Below are 24,707 nucleotides of genomic sequence, written 5' to 3'. Positions count from 1 at the left end.
ATTTTGGCAGAGACATAATTCCAAACCATATGAGATACCATACAAACACCAGAAAAAATATGTTAATGGTTGTATTAACATTAGCCAAATTAGACTTCAGGACAGTATTGCCAGAGATAAAGAGGGCATTTCATGATTATAAAGAGTGAATTCAACAAGAAGACATACAATCTGAAATGTGTATGGACCTAGTAATCTTTAAAATTACGAAGTCAAAATTGACAGAACTAAATAAATAAACAAATCCACAATAGTTGATTTTACCACTTCTAGTAACTGATACAACAACTAGACAAAAAAAAAATAGTAAATATATAGATGATTTGAACAACACTACCAATCATGTTAACCTGTTTGACATGTATAGTACACTACAGCTAATACCCAAGTGTATATTCTTTTTATATGCCCATGGAACATTTACCAAGATAGACCACATATTGGGCCACAAACCGAGTTTCAGTACAGTTAAAAGGATTGAAATTCAACAGGATTGGCTGGGCGCAATGGCTCACGCCTATAATCCTCGCACTTTGGGAAGCCGATGCAGGCATATCACTTGAGGTCAGGAATTTGAGACAAGCCTGACCAATATGATGAAACCCCGCCTCTACTAAAGAAAAAAAGTATACAAAAAGTAGCTGGGTGTGATGGTGCGCACCTGTAATACCAGCTACTTGGGAGACTGGGCACGAGAATCGCTTGAACCTGGGAGGCGGAGGTTGCAGTGAGCTGAAATTGTGCTGCTGGACTCCAGCCTGGGTGACAGAGTGAGACTCTGTCTCAAAAAAAAAAAAAAAGAAATTTAACAGGGTATGTTCTCTGATCACAGCAGATTTAAGTTACAATTCAGTAACACACGTATGTATATCACAAATGTTTAGAAATTAAACAAGTTTCTTTTGAATAAGCCATGGATCAAAAAAGAAAATAAAAGGGAAATTAACAAGCATTTTTACTGATTGATTGTTAAAGCATAACATACCAAATGTGGGATGAAGCTATTTCAGTGCTTAGAGATTAATTTATACCTTTAAATACTTGTATATAAATGAAGAAATATTCAAAATCAATGATCTAAGCTTCCACCTTAAGTTCTTTAAAGAAAAAGAAGGAAGGAAATAAGAGTGGAAATCAATGGACAAGAAAATGGACAAAAAGTAGAGAAAATAAATAAAACCAAGGATGGATCTTCAAAAAAATTAATGAAATTGATATACAACAGCTGGCCTTATATGAGAGAGACAGAGAGAGTACTCAGATGACCAATATTAGGAATCAGAGGAGGGAACCTACAGATACTTTTTAAAAGGTAATATTGTAACTAATTTTATGCCTGTAATTTTAACAACTCAGTTTAAATGGATAAATTCTTATAAGCCAAAATATACTAAAACCAATATAAGTAGAAACAGAAAATATGGATATCTGTTAGAGGAATTAATGTTATAATTTATTTTTTATTTTAAAAAATTTAAGGTGCTTATAATTTAAAAATATTGCCATTCTTTTTGATGATCTTATTCTTTTATTAGAAAGAATGTTTGGCCTGGCATGGTGGCTCATGCCTATAATACCAGCACTTCGAGAGGCCAGGGTGGGCCCCCTAAAAGTTTAAGGTCATCCTGAGCAAAATAGTGGGACCCCATCTCTACCAAAAAAAAACGACCCTCTTCACAAGGCATGGTGGCACACACCTATAGACCCAGCTACTTTGGAGGCTGACATGGGAGACAATTCTTTGAGCCAAGGAATTCGAGGATACCGTGGGCAACATAGTGAGACAGTCCCAAAAGAAAGAGACAGAGAGAGGCAGAGAGGCAGAGAGAGAGAGAGAGAGAGAGAGAGAAGGGGGAGGAGGGAAGGAGGAAGGAGGGAGAGAGGGAGGAAGGACTACTTTGGAATTAGAGATGTTAATGAGAAAAATAAGCCATTTAAACAAAATTTTAACTGATTTATTGGGGGTATAGTTCATATAGAAAAAGCCTGCACATATTTAATTCATACAGTTTGATAGGTTTAAACATATGCATACAGCTGTGAAACCATCACCACAATCAAAGTCATAAACATATCCATCACCTCCAAAAGTTTCCTCCTATCACCCCCTTTTTTGTGGTAAGAACACTTGATATGTACCCTCTTCACAAAGGTTTTGGTGTATAATATAGTATTAAACCACCATTCTATTCTCTGCTTCTATGAATTTGACTATTTTAGATACTTTTTGTGAGTAAGATAGTCAGTATTTGTTCTTCTGGGACTAGCTTATTTCACCTAGGGTAGTGTCCTCAAGGTTCATCCATTTTGTTGGAAATGGCAGGGTTTCCTTTTTGAAGGCTGAATAATATTCTATTGTATGTATATGTCACATTTTCTTAATGTATCCTTCAATGGGTATTTAGATTATTTCCATATCTTGGCTACTGTGAATAATGCTGTAATGAACGTGGGAGGGCAGATAACTTTAATTGCAGTGATTTTATTTCCTCTGGCTGCATACCTAGAAGTGGGATTGCTGGATGATCCAGTAGTTCTACTTTTTAATTTTTTGGGGAACCTTTATACTGTTTTCTATAGAGGCTATACTATTTTCTGTAGAGGCTGGAGCATTTTACATTGCTACCAACATGTGCAGGGATTCCAGTTTCTCCACATCTTCACCAAAACTTGTTAACTAAAAAAATCTAAAAATTTTTGTAATAGTCATCCTAACAGGTGTGGTTTTGATTTGCATTTCCCTGATGATTAGTGATTTTTGAGCACCTTTTTACATAAAGAGTGGGCCATTTGTTTGTTTTCTTTGGAGAAATGTCTGTTGAAGTCCTTGGTTCATTTTTTAAATTAGGTTCTTTGTTGCTTGTATTAGTCCGTTTTCACACTATGATAAAGATACTACCTGAGACTGGGTAATTTATAAACAAAGGAGGTTTAACTGACTCACAGTTCCACATGGCTGGGGAGGCCTCAGTCATGGCAGAAGATGAACAGGAAGCGGGCACCTTCTCCACAAGATGGTAGGAGACAGAAGAGAAAGTGAAGGGGGAGGAACCCTTTGTAAAACTGTCAGATCTCCAGAGAATGAACTCACTGTCATGAGAACAGCATGGGGGAAACTGCCCCCGTGATCCAATCACCTCCCACCAGTTCCCTCCCTTGACACGTGGGGATTACGGATCGAGATGAGATTTGGGTGGGCAACAGAGCCAAACCATATTATTGTTGGTGGTGGGTTTTTTTGTTTGTTGTTGTTGTTGTTTTCGAGACACGGTCTCACTCTATTATCCAGGTTGGAGCGCAGTGGCACAATCATGGCTTATTGCAGCCTCAACCTTCTAGGCTGAAATGATGGCCTACCTCAGCCTCCCTAGTAGCTGCAAACACAGGTGCACACCATCACGCACCACCATTTTTATTTTATTTTATTTTTTGTAGTGACACACTGTTTTGCCCAGGCTGGTCTCAGACTCCTGGATTCAAGTGATCCTCCTGCCTTGCCCTCCCAAAGTGCTGAGATCACAGGCATGAGCCACTGTGCCTGGGAGTTTATTTTATTTTGTTATTGTTGTTGTTGTTGATGCTTGTTTTTTTTTTACTATTGGGTTATGGGAGTTCCTTTTGTATGTAATTTTGAAGTTTGGAGATCAACTCTTTATCTTATACATGGTCTGCAAATATTTTTCCCATTTTGTACGGTGCCTTTTCACTTTGTTGATTGTTTCTTTTGTCATATAGCTTTTTAGTTAAATGTAGCTGCACTTGTCAATTTTTGCTTTCATTGCCTTTGTTTTTGGTGTCACCCAAAAAATCATTGTCATTGTCAAGACCAAAGTCAAGAAGCTTCTTCTCTGTTTTCTTCTATGGGTTTTACAGTGTCGGGTCTTGTTTGTGTCTTTAATTCATTTTGAGTTTATTTTTGTGTTTGTTTTAAGATAAGGGTCAATTTCTTTCTTTTGCGTATGGATATCCAGTTTTCCCAAGCCATTTGTTGTTTTTTTGTTTTGTTTTTTGTTTTGTTTTGTTTTCAGACAGTCTCACTGGAATGCAGTGGCACGATCTCGGCTCACCGCAACCACCACCTCCCAGGTTCAAATGATTCTCCTGCCTCAGCTTCCTGAGTAGCTGGGACTACAGGCACACGCCACCATGCCCAGCTAATTTTTGTATTTTTAGTAGAGACAGGGTTTCACTACGTTGGCCAGGATGGTCTCCATCTCTTGACTTCATTATCTGCCCACCTCAGCCTCCCAAAGTGCTAGGATTACAGGTGTGAGCCACTGCGCCTGGCCACCATTTGTTGAAGAGACTGTCCTTTCCCCTTTGTGTATGCTTGGCACCTGAGTCAAAGATCAGTGGACTGTATTTCTTGGGTTTATTTTTGAGCTATCTATTTCATCCGTCTCTGTCTGTCTTAATTCCTGTGTCATACTGTTTTAATTACTGTAGCTTTGTGATATATTTGGAAATCAGGAACTATTATGCCTCTAGCTTTGTTCTTCTTTCTCAAGATGCAGGGTCTTTTGTAGTTCTGTATGAATTTTAGGATTATGTGTTCTATTTCTTTAAAAAGTACCATTGGAATTTTGGTGAGTGTAACATTGAATTTGTGGATTACTTTGGATAGTATGGACATTTTAACAATATTAAGTTCTTCCAATCCATGAACACAGGATGTCTTTCCATTTATTTTTGTCTTGAAAGAAGGCTATTTGTAATTGACAAATCAGGATTAGGACTCTACTGCCATTTCCTTATTTTTTATTTTATTTTCTATAACTTCCCTATTACCAAATGTTTTAGCTAGTTACATTTACCAAATATTTACTTCATTTTTGGGATCACAGGCTACACATTTGTTTCAATTAGAAATTCTGCTATTTTATTATAAGGATAACTAGATAAATTTGTGTGGATCAATGCTAATTCATTATGCTTAGAAAAAAACTGAAAACATACGGTGAAATATCTTCTGTGCAAAGGACATTATTATGTGTGGTCCTCTATTTTCCTCTTTGTCATTTATATCATCATTTTTATATAGCCCAGAATGTTTTGAACTGAATGTATTCGCCATAAAAATGTCTGTTGAGATAACATATTACAGCAAAAACTTGGTTCTTGGGCATTCGGCCAAATGGAAATTGTGGTCAGAAGTTGAAGGCAGTTTTATATCTTTGAGAAAACATGAAGTTCAAAAAAAGTTTTTGTGAAAAACTGTTATTGACAACACAAACGGGAAACTCCAAGTTGAAGTTAGTGCTCAATAGCAAATTATGGCCAGGCACGGTGGCTCATGCCTGTTTTCCCAGTGCTTTGGGAGGCCGAGGAGGGTGGATTGCCTGAGGTCAGGAGTTCAAGACCAGCCCGGCCAATATGGTGAAACCTCATCTCTGCTAAAAATACAAAAATCAGCTGGGCATCATGGCGCATGCCTGTAATCCCAACTACTCAAGAGGGTGAGGCAGGAGAATCACTTGAACCTGGGAGGCAGAGGTTGCAGTGAGCCGAGTTCACACCATTGTGCTCCAGCCTGGGTGACAAGAGTGAAACTCTGTCTCAAAAAAAAAAAAAAGAAAAGAAATAGCAAATTATAATTAAAATCTACACTTTACATGCTTAGAGGGAAAAAAGTGCAACACATTAGGTGCAATGCACATGTTATTTACTCTGTGCATAAGAATTGTGCTTGGGCATCTGAAAAAGCCTCACCCCATTTCCTACATTCTGCAGGTGCTCTGTGTATATTTTTAGCATTCATACTCAATATATTAGATTTATGTAATGTATATATATGCAAGTGTATGTTTATATTATGTTATAGAAGTAATATAACTTATGCAAGATAGTTTTTTTAATAAAGAGAAATGAAAATCAGCCATAATTTCATCTCGATAAACCACCACTGATAATATGCTTTTCTGGGATTTCCTATGTGTTTTTTTTTCTTTTGTATTTTTATGGATAGGGGGAAAAAACTTACCTACATACGCACACAAATTTGGCGTGATTTTTTTCTATACCTATTTCTCAGGCACTTTGCTATGATTGTTAATGAGATGGCCACAGTACCTACCCTCAATGAAACTTACTGTCTAGTATGGACCAGTGTGAACAGGTAACTCATAATTATTACCAGTGTGCTGAGCTTTATGGAAGGGAAAACAATGATACCGGAGAGTAAATACAGGGTTGGGGGATCACTTAGTCTAGGAGGTTTAGGAGGGACCCCTCTGACAAAGTGTATCATTTAGGATGCTTTTAGCTTCAAGTTATAGACTTGAAGTAGCAATGAAAACTGCCTTCACAATAAGCACACTGATTAGCTTTAATCATAAGAAGCATAGAAGAAGGTTGGTCATTGCAGCAGGTGAAAGAAGTCATGCTTGACCCAGCTTCTCTGGGATTCTCTTGGCTTTCTCTCTGTGGTCACAGATACTTACAGCAGTTCCAAAGACATGATGATGTCCAGAGGCTGAAAAGGGAGAGCTTTTTGCTGAGTATCTTTTTTTTTTTTTTTTTTTTGAAACAGAGTCTCACTCTGTCGCCAGGCTGGAGTGTAGTGGCACGATCTCAACTCACTGCAACCTCTGCCTCCCGGATTCAAATGAGTCTCCTGCCGCAGCCTCCCGAGTAGCTGGGACTACAGGCGCATGCCACCACGCTTGGCTAATTTTTTGTAGTTTTAGTAGAGACAGGGTTTCACTGTGTTAGCCAGGATGGTCTCGATCTCCTGACCTCATGATCCGTCTGCCTCAGCCTCCCAAAGTGCTAGGATTACAGGCATGAGCCACCACGCCCAGCCTTTGCTGAGTATCCCTTTAAAAAAGTAAAAAACCTTTTTCCAGAAGACTTTGGATCTTTTTCTCTTGGGCCAGAATTGTGTAATGTGCATATTTCCTACCCCATTGTTGGTGAGGAAAATGGTGTTACCCTAAGGCTTAGAGGAATCAAAATTCAGCCCCTGGGAGAGAGGAGTTGCTGTCTATCCCTGACAGACATAGTCACCCAATATTTGAATAAAATTATAATTCTTTTAGCTAGGAAGAAGGCAGGACACCCCATCAGTGGAGCAGTAAGTAAATTATGATACATTCATACAACGAAATCCTAATCTACTGTTTAAAAAGAGGCAGGTTTATATGTTGTTATAGATAATTCATTTCAGATTATACTAAATGAAGCAAGAAAAATGCAGAACAAGGCCAGACATGGTGGCTCATGCCTGTAATCCCACTACTTTGGGAGGCCGAGGAGGGTGGATCACCTGAGGCCAGGAGTTCAAAACCAGTCTGGCCAACATGGTGAAACCCCATCTCTACTAAAAATGCAAAATTAGCCAGGCATGGTGGTGGGTGCCTCTAATTACAGCTACTTGGGAGGCTGAGGCAGGAGAATCACTTGAGTCTGGGAGGCAGAGGTTGCAGTGAGCCGATATTGTGCCACTGCACTCCAGCCTGGGCAATAGAGTGAGACTCCATTTCAAAAAAAAAAAAAAAAAAAAAAAAAAGCAGAACATTGTATATAGGAATATATTATTTGTGTAAAACCAGAAAAATTTTTAATAAAATAAAATTTTAATAATAATAAAATTTCTTATATGCTGGTATTTTTAGAAAATAATTCTGGAAGGACCTAAGAAACTGTTTACTGTATTTGCTCTGGGGGTGGGACAAAGGTAAGACAGAGATTTATAATTTACTATATATCCTTTTTTACTGTTTGGGTTTTTTCTCCGTGGCCGTATATCTACAGTTTATTTTTATATTTATTGATTAAACTATTTGCATAAAGAAATAAAGTGGAAAGACATAAAACATTTAAATTAAAATGCCGGAATACTTTCTATTCATATATTGTTTTATGCTTATGAAAATACTTGTCTAATTCACTTAACTTTTTACACTTTTACAGTGTTATTAAAATATATGCACAGAAAACTTGCGCACCAATGTTCGTAGCAGCATTATTCATAATAGTCAAAAATTAGAAACAGCACAAATGTCCATCAACTGATAACAAAATGAGATATACACATATAATGAAATATCATTCATCAATAAAAAGGAATGAAGTATTGATACAAGTTACAACTTGGATGAACCTTGAAATCATTATACTAAGTGAAAGAAGCTGTATTAGCCCATTCTCACACTGCTCATAAGATATGCCTGAGACTGGGTAATTTTTTTAAATTATCATTATTATTATTATTTTGAGACAGAGTTTCACTCTTGTTGCCCAGGCTGGAGTGCAGTGGCGCAATTTCGGCTCACTGCAACCTCCACCTCCTGGGTTCAAGCTGTTCTCCTGTCTCAGCCTCCCAAGTAGCTGGGATTACAGGCGTGTGCCACCACACCCAGCTAATTTTGTATTTTTAGTAGAGACGAGGTTTCACCCTGTTGGCCAGAATGGTCTCGAACTCCTGACCTCAGGTGACCTGCCTGCCTCGGCCTACCAAAGTGCTGGGATTACAGGTGTGAACCACTGCCTCCAGCCAAGACTGTGTAATTTATAAAGGAAAAAGTTTTAATTGACTCACAGTTTAGCATGGCTGAGAAGGCCTCAGAAAACTTACAATCATGATAGAAGGGGAAGCAAACACATCCCTCTTCACATGGCAGCAGCAAGTAGAAGTGTCAAGAAAGAGGTGGAAAACCCCTTATAAAGCCATCAGATTTTTTTTTTTATACTTTAAGTTCTAGGGTACACGTACACAACGTGCAGGTTTGTTACATATGTATACATGTGCCATGTTGGTGTGCTGCACCCATTAACTCGTCATTTGCATTAGGTACATCTCCTAATGCTATCCCTCCCCCTTCCCCCTCCCCCCACCCCACGACAGGCCCCAGTGTGTGATGTTCCCCTTCCCGTGTCCAAGTGTTCTCATTATTCAATTCCCACCTGTGAGTGAGAACATGCGGTGTTTGGTTTTCTGTCCCTGTGATAGTTTGCTCAGAATGATGGTTTCTAGCTTCATCCATGTCCCTACAAGGCCATTAACTCATCCTTTTTTATGGATGAGTAGTATTCCACAGTGTATATCTGCCACATTTTCTTAATCCAGTCTATCATTGATGGACATTTGGGTTGGTTCCAAGTCTTTGCTATTGTGAATAGTGCTGCAATAAACATACGTGTGCATGTGTCTTTATAGCAGCATGATTTATAATCCTTTGGGTATATACCCAGTAATGGGATGGCTGGGTCAAATGGTATTTCTAGTTCTAGATCCTTGAGGAATCGCCACACTGTCTTCCACAATGGTTGAACTAGTTTACAGTCCCACCAACAGTGTAAAAGTGTTCCTATTTCTCCATATCCTCTCCAGCACCTGTTGTTTCTTGACTTTTTAATGATCGCCATTCTAACTGGTGTGAGATGGTATCTCATTGTCGTTTTGATTTGCATTTATGCAAACTCTCTGATGGCCAGTGATGATGAGCATTTTTTCATGTGTCTTTTGGCTGCATATGTCTTCTTTTGAGAAGTGTCTGTGCATATCCTTTGCCCACTTTTTGATGGAGTTGTTTGATTTTTTTTTCTTGTAAATTTGTTTAAGTTCTTTGTAGATTTTGGATATTAGCCCTTTGTCAGATGGGTAGATTGTAAAAATTTTCTCCCATTCTGTAGGTTGCCTGTTCACTCTGATGGTAGTTTCTTTTGCTGTACAGAAGCTCTTTAGTTTAATTAGCTCCAATTTGTCAATTTTGGCTTTTGTTGCCATTGCTTTTGGTGTTTTAGTCATGAAGTCCTTGCCCATGCCTATGGCCTGAATGGTATTGCCTAGCTTTTCTTCTAGGGTTTTTATGGTTTTAGCTCTAACATTTAAGTCTTTAATCCATCTTGAATTAATTTTCGTATAAGGTGTAAGGAAGGGATCCAGTTTCAGCTTTCTACCTATGGCTAGCCAGTTTTCCCAGCATCATTTATTAAATAGGGAATCCTTTCCCCGTTTCTTGTTTTTGTCAGGTTTGTCAAAGATCACATGGTTGTAGATGTGTGGTATTATTTCCGAGGGCTCTATTCTGTTCCATTGGTCTATATCTCTGTTTTGGTACCAGTACCATGCTGTTTTGGTTACTGTATCCTTGTAGTATAGTTTGAAGTCAGGTAGCATGATGCCTCCAGCTTTGTTCTTTTGGCTTAGGATTGTCTTGGCAATGCAGGTAAAGCCATCAGATCTTATTACAACTCACTCACTATCACGAAAACAGCATGCAGGTAACCGCCCCCATGATTCAATTACCTCCCACCAGGTCCCTCCCACTACACAAAGGGATTATGCGAACTACAATTCAAGATGAGATTTGGGTGGGGACACAGTCAAACCATATCAGAAGCCAATTACAAAAGACCATATATTGTATGATTCCACTTACATGAAATGTCCAGAATAGGCAAATCTATGGAGACAGAAAGTAGATTAGTGGTTTCCTGGGAAGGTTGAGGGAAAATGGGGAGTGTCTGTTAAAAGACATAAGGTTTCATTTTGTAATGGTAAAAATGTTCTAAAATTGTGGTGATGGTTGCACATTCTCTGAATATATTAAAAACCATTGAATTGTATACTTCAAAGGGATGAGTGTATGCTATGTGAATTATAGCTAGTAAAGCTATTTTAAAGATGTATCTGTATTGTTTGTTCCCACAACCACTGGCAGAATTTTCAAGAATATTGCTTCAGTTTCTTTATGAACACAATAGAATCATATACTTACCAACACCTTTGTTCTTTTTGGAAAACTGGATATTTTTTGGCAACTTTTTTCCTCTGTTGTTTTATGCATTTATAGACTAACATAGTTATCCTTTTTTTCAATAAGTCTGTCACTGATATTTTTATTTTTTTTCTGCTTTTGCCTTTCCTTAAAATATCATCTTATAAACTCTATTTTTTGTGAGCATAGTTTTACTTCTATCTTCAATAAATTTAAAAAATCTTGTGAAAGAATTTGCACATAGTTTTAAAATGAGATAGTATAAAAGGGCTTATAATGAAAAACAACAAATTCTGGTGTTCTGTCCTCCCTCCTATTCCTGCTACCCACTTTTTAACTGTTTCTGTTTGTTACTCTGATCATATTTCCCATATTATTAAAAAGCTCATGCATGCATGTTCCAAGTTGATTTCCAACTGTGATAGATGAATAAATAGCCAACTTATGTTTGGCTGTTCATAGGATTCTTGGGTGAACATAAATTTGAAGACATTGCTTTATCATCTTTTACAATTGTATTTTGTATTCCTGTTGAAAGATATACTTGTTCCTTTTTTCTCCCTCTTTCCTTCTCTTTCTCTGAAAAATTTAATAATTATCTTTACGCCCGTGTTTTAAAATTTCACAGTTATATGCCTTGTATGTACAGTTTTTAAAATCCATTGTGTTTGGCCTTTGGTAAGTGAATTAGTCCATTCTGATGCTGCTAGTAAAGACGTACCCAAGACTGGATAATTTATAAAGGAAAGAGGTTTAATGGACTCACAGTTCCACATGGCTGGGGAGGCCTCACAATCATGGCGGAAGGCAAAGGAGAAGCAAAGGCATATCATACATGGTAGCAGGCAAGAGAGTGTGTGCAGGGAAACTCCCATTTTTAAAACCATCAGATCTCCTGAGACTTATTCATTACCAGGAGAACAGTATGGGGGAAACTACCCCCATGATTCAATTATCTCCACCTAGCCCTGCCGTTGACACATTTGGATTATTACAATTCAGGTGAAATTTGGGTAGGGACACAGTCAAACCATATCAGTAAGCATTTCAGTCTAATGAATACTGTTTCTCTTCAACTCTGGAAATTGTGTGAATAATTTCTTCAATAATTTTCTTCCCTCTGTTTGTATTATCATTTGGGGATTCCAACTAGTTGAATGGAAGGTCACCTAGAGTGATTTTCTGTTCTTCTCAATCAGAATTCCTCATGTGAACCACAGACTCAGAAAATGGTTTGACTAACTTTTTTCTCACATCTTCCAAGGCTAGTCTTAACCAGTACCATTCTAGATACATGAGAGAAATTAATAGATAACATACAGTGATTGTCTAGGACGAGGGTCAGTGAACTTTTTCTTAAAGGGACAGATAGTAAATATTTTCGGTGTTGTAGGTTGGGAGGCAAAATCAAGGCTATGGTGTAGGTATTTATATACCTATCTGAAATGTAACCATTTAAAAATATAAAAAATATTCTTATCTTGTGAGCCATTAAATTAAAAAGTAGATGGCTAGCTGGATTTAGCACACAAGCCATAATTTGCCCAGCCTCTTTTTTTAGGGCATTAGGGGTTAATTCTTTCACTGACTCTGTTCAGAAAATCCTCTTTTTTATTTTCACTCATTTCCCTTCAACTTAGTTTTTTATTTTACCTTTGGGGAGATTTCCACAAATTTTTCTTAAAGCACTTCTATTTTAATTCAACAGTCGTTTTTCATTCCAGCACTTCTTTTTTGTTTTCCAGTTCCCTTTTTTAGTATCTTGTTTTTGTTTTATGGATGCAAGACATTCCTAAATGTTTCTAAGGATACTCCTTATAGTTTTTAAAACTCTTTTCTTTTGTTTCCTAAATTATCTCTTTTTCCTTTGAGGACAGTTTTTCTAATTTGTACGTTCGTGATCTCTGGTAATCTATCATACTTAACAGTGATAAAACAGAAAAATCATCTGTTGTTTCTCTAGGTAAAATGCATAAACATTTAACAATTATATGTTACAATTTTAGTTACCATTTATATTTTATATATTAAAACTGATGCTTACAGGAACAGAAAACCAACCACCACATGTTCTCACTTATAAGTGGAAGTTAAACGTGAGTACACATGGATACAAAGACAGGAACAATAGACACCGCGGCCTGCTTGAGGGTAGAGGAGAGGAGGAGGGTGAGGATAGAAAAGCTGCCTGTTGGGTACTATGCTTATTACCTGGGATGAAATAATATGTACCAAAAAAACCCATACCACACAGTTTATCTATAGAACCAACTTGTACATGTACTCCCAAAACTAAAATAAATTTTTTTAAAAAAGGAAAAAAATCTGATGCTTATATTTTCATTAAATCTCCTCCTGAAATCAGACATAAAGAGAAAATCTCTAATAAGAGGGTGTGTGTGCGTGCGTGCTCGTGCATGTGTGTACATGTACCATCTGGAGGCTAAGGTGGTATTTGAGACATTCTGTCATTAGGGCAGTTGCCCCTGTTGCTTTGACACTCTGTTCTTTCGGTGGTTTTCAGCTTCCTCTGCCCTCCATCATCACTTCCATCCCTGCTTCATCTGTCTGCTAGGTAACTGTTGAAATTACTCAGCTGCTGATGGCCCTCTCATCTTCTTTGCTGTAATGGTTTTATATCTTTTACAAACTATTACCTATGATTTAAATAGACTCTCCCAAGAGAGAAGATAGCTGTTTATGTTCATGTTTTAATTAGTATTTTTAATTTTTAATTAGTATTCTCACTACACATTTTAAACTATATTTTTGCATTTATTATATGCTTCTGAAATACAAAAAGCAACATGAATAAGTCATTTGTGATGTTTATAACTCAGTAGGGAGATATCACACATATGCCAAATTAACTTTAATAAAAGGAAAAAATGTAGTAAATCTGATCAACTACTTTGAAAATAGAGGAGTGGTAGTGAATGGGGAGGTCAGGCTCTAGGGAGAGGTTGGCATTTGAGCTGGGCTTGAATGATGAGCACAGTGTAGACATGTAGAGTGGAGAAGGTGTTGCAAGTGGATAGACCTTAACATGCTCAGAAGTACAAATCAGAAAATGCAAGAAGCAATTAGTAGTGAGTTTCCAGTGTGATTACAGTATAGGGTAGATGCATATTTGGTTGGGCAGGGGGACATTTGTAGGACACAAGGCCAGAAAGGGAAATTGGACTCAGATCATGAAGGATCATTCCATACTCAGGCTTTTGGATTTTGTTATTTAGACCATTGGGGACAACTTTTAAGTAGGGTGTAAAGATGGCTTAAATGTCTTCTAGGTAAGTCCGATTACAGTACGAAAGATAGATTAAAAAGATAAGATAGGCCAGGCGTGATGGCTCACGCCTGTAATCCCAGCACTTTGGGAGGCCGAGGTGGGTGGATCACCTGAGGTCAGGGGTTCGAGACCAGCCTGGCCAACACGGTGAAACCCTGTCTCTACTAAAAAAATACAAAAATTAGCCAGGCCTGGTGGCACGCCCCTGTAGTCCCAGCTACTTGGGAGGTCGAGGCAGGAGAATCGCTTGAACCCAGGAGACGGAGGTTGCACTGAGTTGGGATTGCACCACTGTACTCCAGCCAGGGTGACAGAGTGAGAAGGGAAAAAAAAAGATAGTTGAGGTAGTGAATCCTGTTATAAGCTATTAATTACAGTCTGAACCAGGACAGCAGATTAGTTTCTTAGCAATATTCATTAAACATCTGCAGTGTCTGCTAGATATTTTGATAGACATTGATACTTTGGAGGTTTTTCCTCAAAATGGTTTCTATAGCCCTGTCTCCCTCCCTACTCCAACTGGGGCCATCCTAAGCAAAGCTCTGCTGACTCCCTGCCTGAGTTACTAGGGCTCCAGCTCCTGTAGACACCAGGGTCTGTCTCCAGTCCAATTCATTTTGTGCACCACTGACAAAATAATCTTCAGATGTGACCTAAATTATGTCATTTCTCCTTTTAAAACTGCTTTGATCCCCCTACCAATCAAGTCTTAACTCTTCTTCTGGATGTCAGTGTCCCCATCCTGGCTCTACCCTAACTAACCAAACTTTTCTTGCCAGTGTCTAATGCAAAAATATTCTTGTGAGGCCATGACGGGAGGAACACTTGAGCCCAGGAGTTCAAGATCAGCCTAGGCAACACAGTGAGACCTTGTCTCTGCAAAAATTTTTAAAAAATTAGCCGAGCATGGTAGTGCATGCCTGTAGACCCTCAGGAGGCTGAGGTGGGAGGATTGCTTGAGCCTGGTTGCACTGAGCTGTGATCGCACCACTGCATTCCAGCCTGGGTGACAGAGTGAGACTCTATCTCAAAAAAAAAAGAATCTTGTCGTCTTTGTCTGTCTCATTTCCTTAGAGCACGCTCATTCTGCCCCCATGCCTTCTTTTCTCATGTGACCTTGCTGTGCATGTTCTCTATACCTTCTCATTTAAATTCTTCCCAACTTTCAAGTCTTAGCTCAGTTACATCTCCTCAAAAGTTCTTCTACATCTTCTTTGAAAAAAAATCATCTTACACTGTTTTTCTTTTTCTTTCTTTCTTTTTTTTTTTTTTTTTTTTTTGAGACGTAGTCTCACTCTGTTGCCCAGGCTGGACAGTGCGGCGGCACGATCTTGGTTCACTGCAACCTCTGTCCCCCAGGTTCAAGCGATTCTCCTGCCTCAGCCTCCCAACTAGCTGGGGTTACAGGTGCCTGCCGCCACACCCAGCTAACTTTTGTATTTTTAGTAGAGACAGGGTTTCACCCTGTTGGCCAGGCTGGTTTCAGACTCCTGAACTCAAGTGATCTGCCTTCCTTGACCTCCTTAAGTGCTGGGATTACAGGCGTGAGCCACCATGCCCACCCTTTTTTTGGGGGGTGTGGTGGAGGGGAGGGGACAGGTTTGCACTCTGTTATCTAGGCTGGAGTGCAGTGGCACGATCTCGGCTCACTGCAACCTCCGCCTCCCAGGTTCAAACGATTCTCGTGCCTCAGCCTCCTGAGTAGCTGGGACTATAGGCATGTGCCATGATGCCCAGCTAATTTTTGTTATTTTTGTAGAGATGGTCTCCCTATGATGCCCAGGCTGGTCTCCAACTCCTGGGCTCAAGTGATCCTCCCACCTCAGCCTAGGAGTGCTGGGATGACAGGTGTGAACCAGCACATCCGGCCGTCTTAACACTATTTTTCCCTCCCCATGTTGTCTAGCCTTATGTTTGGCATGTCTATCCTCAGTTACTCCATGGTCACAATACGGCTGCAGGAGTGCCAGCTATCCTAACAACATTTCAGACAGGAAAGATAAATGCAAGGGGCAAAAGGGACATCTCTCCCAGCTGAGTCAGCCACCTCTGAAAAGCTCTCCTGAGGAGTGACTGGCACTAGGTTGGCTTCATTGGTTGCCCGTAGGTACAAGGGATACATTTCTAGATAGACATATTCAGGGTCTCCATGTTAAACAATTCCATAGGACACCATTCACAAAAAAACAATATATAGAATAGAACAGAGTATTCAATATCTTTATCTGGGTTTGATACATATACGTATGTATCATATACATGTACAGTATGTATATGTATTTTTACATACGTATATGTATTTTACATACTGTATATGTATATGATACATACGTATATGTATTTTACATACTGTATATGTATATGATACATATGTATATGTATTTTTACATATACATACTGTATGATACAGTATGTATATGTAAAAAGTTATCAAGCTATATAGTTAAGATTAGTATACTTTTTTCTTCCTCATCCCAACATTAGTATACTTTATACTTCATTGAATATGTGTTGTACTTCAGTTTTCAAAAATTAGTGGTTTCCTCAAGAGGTGTGCAGTGTGATGAGCCTGGGAACGTGGCTGTAGGTAAAACTAGGATTATGTTCTCAGAGGGAAAAGTAGACACTGAGTTAGGTATCTAGATATCTTTGTCACAAGCATAGGACTTTTTTCTATCAATAGTTTTGACATGTACACCAATGTTTTAAGATATCACAGTGTTCAATATAATATATATAGTAGGCGATTTTTATTTTGATATCGAAACATTCCCACAAGAATGAAAGCATTGGCTTTGAAAAACAAAATATTGCTTGTAATTTTTATTCATGTGCTACAAAGCTTAAACCTTAAGTGAAAACGCAGTGTATACTTTTGACTGCTATGTACTTTATATAGTAAAAGCAACATGTAATTTTATTAAGTCAATAATAAAAGGATTCACAACACTAGTTTCTGAAAAATGTCCACTTTGGGTGGCTCTAAACTGATTAATAAAAAGCAAGTAAATAAAACTGATCATAAGGTGTCAAAATCTAATCTGTATTTATAAGCGTTTGCAAACATTTAAGTAATCTTTTGAAATTTTCTTTTACTTCCTTTCGTTCTGTTAGAAAAATCTGAAAAATAAACAACCAGATTCACTTTGTTGTTGTTGTGAAACTACTAGAAAATGAGTGACACATGACTAGTCTGCTCTTATTTCATGTAATTTTAAAATGCATTCCAAATAATCGGAATTAGAAAATGGCAACTTCTTTTTGTTTGTTTGTTTTGTTTTGTTTTTCTTGAGATGGAGTCTCTCTATGTCGCCCAGGCTGGAGTGCAATGGCACAGTCTTGGCTCACTGCAGTCACCACCTCCCAGGTTGAAGCGATTTTCCTGCCTCAGCATCCCAAGTAGCTGGGACTACAGGCACATGCCACCATACCTGGCTCATTTTTGTATTTTTAGTAGAGACGAGGTTTCACCATGTTGGCCAGGCTCGTCTCGAACTCCTGACATCAGGCGATCCACCCACCTCGGCCTCCCAAAGTGCTGGGATTACAGGCATGAGCCACCATGCCCGACCAAATGGCAGCATCTTTAAGCATTTATTTCTGAGTATCTGTGGGTTGATGTTTACTTGTTTTTAAATAAAGATTGTGTTTTTCTTAGGTTCATCCTCAGCAGCACCGGCTTCTTTTTGAAGTGTTTGACGAAAACCGATTGGTAAGTTATATTGTGCTTATATGAAATATGAAGTAAGGGTACATTTCAGTGGAGCAGCCAGGGGAAGTGGGTAAGCAGTCTGGGATTTGAGTGATGGCTTGGGGGTGGTTATGGAGACTCTGGGCAAAATGGTGAGGGAGATAGAATTTGTTTTCTTCCTCCTGGTCCTACTCGCTCCCTTTCCATTCTCCTCCCAAGCACCTCTTCTGATTGCCAACATATTATAAGGTCTTACTCAAGACCTCTTGTGACAGGAGAGGACAGAAAACCAACCTCTTTGTCCTGCCTTCCCTCTCACTCGCCCATGACCCCTGGTTCCTACTCCATGGCTCTGGGAATCTTCCCAGGGTATCCTTCAGTTGCGCCTCCTCACTACAGTGGCCTTTCTTAGGGTTACCTGTATCCAATGGACATCCTATCCACTCTCTCATCCCCACTCTTCTACAGAGGAAATCTGTCCTTTTTACACTGATAAGGAATGAGCAAATAAAGTCTTCTCAAAGATGGCCAGCTCTTACAGAAGCAAAAAGCAAAGTTAAACCTGATGTTCTTTTTATAAAATGATTGTTCTGATTTCTGAATTCCTAAAGACTCTCTTAAAGTCCTATCCTTTTCCTAATTTTGTCTCTGAGGATCCAATCTCAAACCCTCATCTTAGCATCTTACATCTATATTTTAAACCTGTAAGATTTGAACAGGTAAGTATAGAAACAGTGTTATGTGTGCAAAGCTTATCAGTTACAAGCACCAGAAAAATTAAACAGTTTTGTTCATTTTTTAGCTAACAGAGAAACTAGCTTTTTTTTTAAAAAAAAGTCTGTTTTTAGTGTTAAACTACATTCATGTTTTTTTTGCCCTCAAGAAATGGTAATTATACTGGCAACTAAAGATATTGCCAATGAAATCTTTAATAAACATCATACTAAGCAAAAGTACATTATTGCTGCCAAAGAAGACTATCACTGACTTGCTATATATATATATATTTTTTTTTTTTTTTGAGATGGAGTCTCGCTTTGTCGCCAGGTGGGAGCACAGTGGCTCAGTCTCAACTCACTGCAACCTCCGCCTCCAGGGTTCATGCAGTTCCCCTGCCTTAGCCTCCCTAGTAGCTGGGACCACAGGCGCTCACCACCACACCTGGCTAATTTTTGTGAATTTTAGTAGAGATGGGGTTTCACCATGTTGGCCAGGATGGTCCTGATCTCCTGATCTCGTGATCCGCCTGCCTCTGACTCCCAAAGTGCTGGGATTACAGGCATGAGCTGCCATGCCCAGCCTGGCCATCTAATTTTTAAGGCTAAGTGACAGATGTTGCTGATTTGATTATCAGATATGGTTAGTTACAGAGCTATTTGTTTTCTGTCTGTGTTTTTGCTTGTTTAAAAGAATATAAAATGTTTTCCTTTTTTTCCCCTCTGAATCTATAGACCTGTTTTCCTTTATTTATTATTATTATTTTTTGACAGAATCTCACTCTGTTGCCTAGGCTGGAGTGCAGTGGCGCAGTCTCAGCTCACTGCAACCTCTGCCTCCCAGGTTCAAGCTATTCTCCTGCCTCAGCCTTCCAAGTAGCTGGGATTACAGGCACCCGCCTCCTTGCCCAGCTTATTTTTGTATTTTTAGTAGAGACGGGGTTTCACCATGTTGGCCAGGCTGGTCCCTTCTAGATGGAAACAAATTAAACTTTGTATTGGTGGAGTTTTTGTGTGTGTTTTGTTTTTAACTCATGAAATATACATACAAAAAAGCCCACATAATATAAATATTTTAAATAATAAGACAAATATGTATACACGTTACTCAGCTTAAGAACTAGAACATTACCAAAATCTTTGAAACCCTCCCTAGATCCCTCCTTAGTAGCATCTTCTTTTCTTCCTCCACAAGTACTAGCCACTGTCCTCAATTTTGTTTTTATCATTCTTTGCTTTTTAAAATACTTTTATCACATGTATATATATCCCCAAAAAACACATTGTTGGCCGGGCATGGTTGCTTATGCCTGTAATCCCAGCACTTTGGGAGGCCGAGTTAGGTGGATCACCTGAGGTCAGGAGTTCAAGACCAGGCTGGCCAACGTGGTGAAACTCTGTCTGTAATAAAAATACAAAAATTAGTTAGGCGTGATGGTGGGCACCTGTAGTCCCAGCTACTTGGGAGGCTGAGTTGGGAGACTTGCCCGAACCCAGGAGGTGGAGGTTGCAGTGAGCCAAGATAACACCATTGCACTTCAGCCTAGGTGACAAGAGCGAAACTCTGTCTCCAAAAAAGCAAAAACCCACATTGTTTATTTTGCATATTTTTTAATTTGTAAAAATAGTATATCTCTATAGACATTCCTCTGATATGCTTTTTTGCTTAACATTATATTTGTGAGATCTGTGATTACACATTTCAATGATGCATAATTTTCTATATTCTGAAAAATCATAATGCTATAATTTATGTATTTAACCTCCTTAATAGATATTAGTGTTATTTCCAGTATTTTGCTCTTACAAATTGATAAACATTTTTATGTCTCCCTATGTACGTGTCTGAGTCTATCTCTAAGAGATATGTTTTAGAGTTGAATTGCTAGATCATGGTATTACTGTTATTTTTCCTGTTGCCACTGATACCGATGTGAATTTTGCCTGATCATTGAGTGTATTATTGGTGAACTATTTTATTTGCGTTATTTGCATGTTGTCCACAAGGAGGGACAGCTCACATTTGTGCTTTCCACCATGCTTAATTGTCTGGTCCATTTTGCCAGTAACTTTAGTATTTGCGTGACTCTTTCTTAATGGCCAGAATGGCTGTTTGTCAAACACTAATCAGTGAATTAACATTCCTTAAGCATTTACTGTGTATATAATACTATAAAGTGTGTCATGATAGGTTGGAAGAAAAAAGTATTGCCTTTGATATTAACAGTTGGATATTTATAGATGGATAAATATGACAAAATTTTTAAAACTTTTAACCATATGAAAAAACAAATAACACATTAATCAAAATATTGTAACACCTGTAATCCCAGCACTTTGGGAGGCTGAGGCGGGTGGATCAGGAGGTGTTCCTGAGGTTAGGTGAACACCTGATGTCAGGAGTTCGACACCAGCCTGGCCAGCATGGTGAAACTGCGTCTCTACTAAAAATACAAAATTTAGCCAGGCCTGATGGTGCGCACCTGTAGTCCCGGCTACTCTGGAGACTGAGGCATGAGAATTGCTTGAGCCCAGGAGGTGGAGGTTGCAGTGAGCTGAGATCACACCATTGCATTCCAGCCTAGGCAACAGAGTGAGACTCCGTCTCGGCGAAAAAAAAAAAAAGTTATTATAGATCCCCACACTAAGGACTAAGAAATTCTATTATAATCCTGCCTTTCTTTTGGGGTATTAGCTTGTAACCCTAAACAAATTATTCAATCCTTCTAAAAATACCTTCTCACATTTAAAAAATGAGGACAACAATATTTGCCCTGCCTATCTCATAAGCATATTGTGAGGATAAAATGAGACAATGACGATGAAAATACTTGGAAAATTCTTTATCATGATACAAATATAAAATGTCATTTAACATTCGTAGACTTAACGCGTTTGTAGCTCTCTGATATGGTATATCTTGTGTTAGCTAAGATATACCATTTAGTATATCTACTGTGTTAGATGCTCTTCTATGAGTGGGAAATACAGCTTTTCTTGAGAAACTCGGTTTACCAGCAAAACAAAGAGCCAAAGATAATTAGAACATGGTGGTGTGTGTCATTCTAGTCCTCTTGATTTGTTGCTAGTCTTAGCAGGTAAGGGAGGTATAGAGATGACCTGAGATGTTATAGAACCTATAGCCATTGGTGGAGTAACAGACCTGATTGTATAGCAACAAATGACCTGTGTCATTATAAATGTCATTCCGTCTTTATTCTGCTGAGGCACTCACAACTAAATTTAAAATGTACCATTTTCCTAGCAAATTCTCTTGGAAAATGGAGGGTGAAGAACACAAGTATAATATTAAGCAGAAACAACTTTAGTCATCTGGAAAACGTTTGTAATGTAAGTGATATTTGCTTTCAATAAAGAGTAGGCTTATATCACTTTTTTCCAGCCAATTTTAAGACTTGAGTGTTATAAAATATTGTCGTTTCATTATGGTGATGGTGGTGGTAGTGGTGGCAATAATGACAGAACATTTCAGAATGATGTGTCTTAAAAAAACTCTACCCACCAATGCAAAAGTTAGCACTGTGTCACCAGTCTAAGATATACACCTGTACACATTCAGCCACCGGTTTTAGGAGCCACCTATATTCTGGGTGGAGACCCTGTGCTTCTCACGTTTAGCAGTTGTATTAGTGAAGGTTCTCCAGAGAAACAGAAACAATAGATTGTGTATATATTTTATGTATTATTTATTTTTCATATATTTTATATATGAAATTATGTATAATATATGAATATATATATTTCCACACAATATATATATAGTGAAGACTTCAATCTGAAATCTGCAGGGCAGGCCAGGAAGCTGAGAACTTAGGCAGGGATTCTACATTGTAGTCTTGAGGCAGAATTGCTGCTTCTTACACAACCTGTGTTTGCTTTCAAAGCCCTCAGCTGATTGGATGAGACCCACACACATTGTGGAGGGTAATGTGCTCTACTCAGAGTCTACTGATTTAAATGCTAATCATGTCTAAATGTCTTCATAGCAATGTCTATACTGATGTTTGACCAAACAAGTGGGTACCATAACCTATCGAAGTTGATACATACAATTAACCACCGCAGCTGACTTTGGCCTTCAAAGTTCAGTCAATGATTAAGATTACCCAGAGCCTATCCATACCATGTAGATAATCACATTATTTTCCATGTAGATGATCAGTAACCAACAGCTCTGAATGTGAGGTTCTTAGCTTCAATCCTAAGACGTTATCTGTTTCATTCCGGAATATGAAATTCTATGTAGGACTTGCATGGATTCTTTCCAGATGAGGGCTGCCATGTCCCTCCAGTTCTTCTACACTTAAGGTTAGGATTAACACTCCTGTTTTGGTATTTGCTGGACTGAGAGACTACATTTTATAGCAAGTTCCCCGATTTCCCATGTAACTGCTATAATAGCAGTATAGATCCTATGCAATTTCAGACCTCAGCCAGCAATGCAAATTGTTCAGCCTCCCTAGAATTTAAACTCAGACTAGAGTGCTAGGAAGTGCATGTGATTCTCTTACCTTACATTTCCTTGGCTGAAACCCTCTCTGTAAATTTTTCAAACGTCATTCTTTCTTGTCCACCTGCAGTGCTTTTTGATATTTCTTTAAAAGTGGCGGCTGGATCAACTTCAACAACAACAAGAAAAATCCTGAAAGAAAGCATTAGGCATTCAGAGTGACTGTGATGACACCATCCATCTCTCCATCCAGACTTCTATCTGGTGTCTTCTGGTACTTACTTTGAGCCCAGGATGAGCTCAGGAGCATCAGAAGAAATGTGTAGTTATGGCCCATGCTCTCTGGAAAGTTAAAATCTAGTTAGGGGACATGGAACTGATGCTTATAGTGAAGCTTACCAAAGAGAAGACATTTATCTGACCAAATACTTGGAGTTCATTATTTTATATGTTAATAATGAGAGGAGCTTTTCTTATTTCCTGGAAGTTTTAGGCCACAGACATGAACAATTAGATCTCATTGATTAGCCTATTAGAAGGGATTCATTCTTTGAGTTATTAGACCCCACACTTAATCCCAGAAAGAACGCTGAAGTCATTTGAAGGCAGAGTAAAACAGGACTCCTCCTTATTTAAAAGAAAAAGATGTTAAGAGAATATTGACTGAAGTCTGTAAAATCATAAAGGAGGTGGTTTATACAAAAGCAAAAATAACATAATAATTGTATTACTAAGTTTTCAACTATTGTACGCATTCAAAAACAGGGCTGTTTCATTCTAGTCAAATGAAATGCAATGAATTCCCATAATTCTGTTTTGTGTCTTAATTGATTAAAAATCTGTTTAGAAAATTCTGATCAAAAACAGATCTATCTTAAGCAGTTTTTTTTTTTTAACAAAGTATGAGTATATGTTTTACATATTTGCTTTTACTTAGGAAAAAAAACTTACTTAGCAAAATACAACTTGGGTGTAGTAGCATGTGGTATAAACAACGGAACTATTTTACCTTTTACTTTCCTATGAATGAGCCAGTATATATTTATTACTGGAGTTCCAGCTATAAAATTTAGGTGAGGGGTTTAAATATACCCTAGAGTATTATTTAAAAATAAATTTGTTTCTTTCAAATAGAATACCAACCTTGGTCTATGGCATTTGAGAGAGAAATTAAAATATTAAATTTTGATTGCCTAGTAAACTGAAAATAAAGGTTAAATAAATACAAAGCAGAAAAAATATATATACAAAATCACAACCTCTAAAAGGACAAACAGTCCACTGTTCTCTACTGTGGGAGCTTTATCAGCACTGGTGAGTAATTCCACCTCTAGGGTAGGGCTAGCTCTCAAAAATGTAAACAAGTATGTACTTCGTTTATATAAAGAAATGTGCAGCTTGGTTTGTATTTCTTTATAGATATCAAACAGCTAAATGGATTGTTTCAAAGTACCAGCAGGGGCCAGCAAAGAGCTCTTAGAGTTTTTCAGAACAGAATTGGCATTGAGACATGTTTATTTGATGTGCTAAATCCTTTTTAGACTTCTTTACTTACCACAACACTCTCTTAAGTGAATGAATTGCAGAGACAGTGGAATAAAATATCCTGTGTGTTCAAACTATCTTGGGGTATAGTTTTTTTTTTCTAATCTGCATATATTTTTATTGGAATGTTTGCTTAGGCTATTTCTTGGCAGTTTTAATAGTCAAAATATAAATGGCATCATTTAAAGACTGTTCTACTTGGCTGGAAAAGGCCTTAAAATTACAGGAGAAAATGCTTAGTGACAGCTTCTCTTAAACTTTTTTTCTTGAACCT

At 38.2% G+C, this 24,707-nt stretch overlaps 1 protein-coding gene across 5 annotated transcripts in view; it reads left to right on the top strand.

Annotated features, from left to right (window-relative positions):
* The window catches only part of NEDD4 (NEDD4 E3 ubiquitin protein ligase), a 166,696-nt gene that overhangs the window by 51,245 nt on the left and 90,744 nt on the right, over positions 1 to 24,707 (top strand). For all 5 annotated transcript variants that reach the window (NM_006154.4, NM_001329212.2, XM_011521625.4 and 2 more), the window contains one exon: positions 17,669 to 17,722. In NM_006154.4, coding sequence (NP_006145.2) covers positions 17,669 to 17,722 — 54 coding nt within the window. The remainder of the gene's footprint in view (positions 1 to 17,668; positions 17,723 to 24,707) is intronic.

This window comes from Homo sapiens, chromosome 15 (assembly GCF_000001405.40).
Source record: "Homo sapiens chromosome 15, GRCh38.p14 Primary Assembly".
NCBI classification, from domain to species: domain Eukaryota; kingdom Metazoa; phylum Chordata; class Mammalia; order Primates; family Hominidae; genus Homo; species Homo sapiens.
The sequence above is the reverse complement of the archived record's forward strand: the minus strand, read 5'-3'. Positions and strand labels throughout refer to the sequence as shown.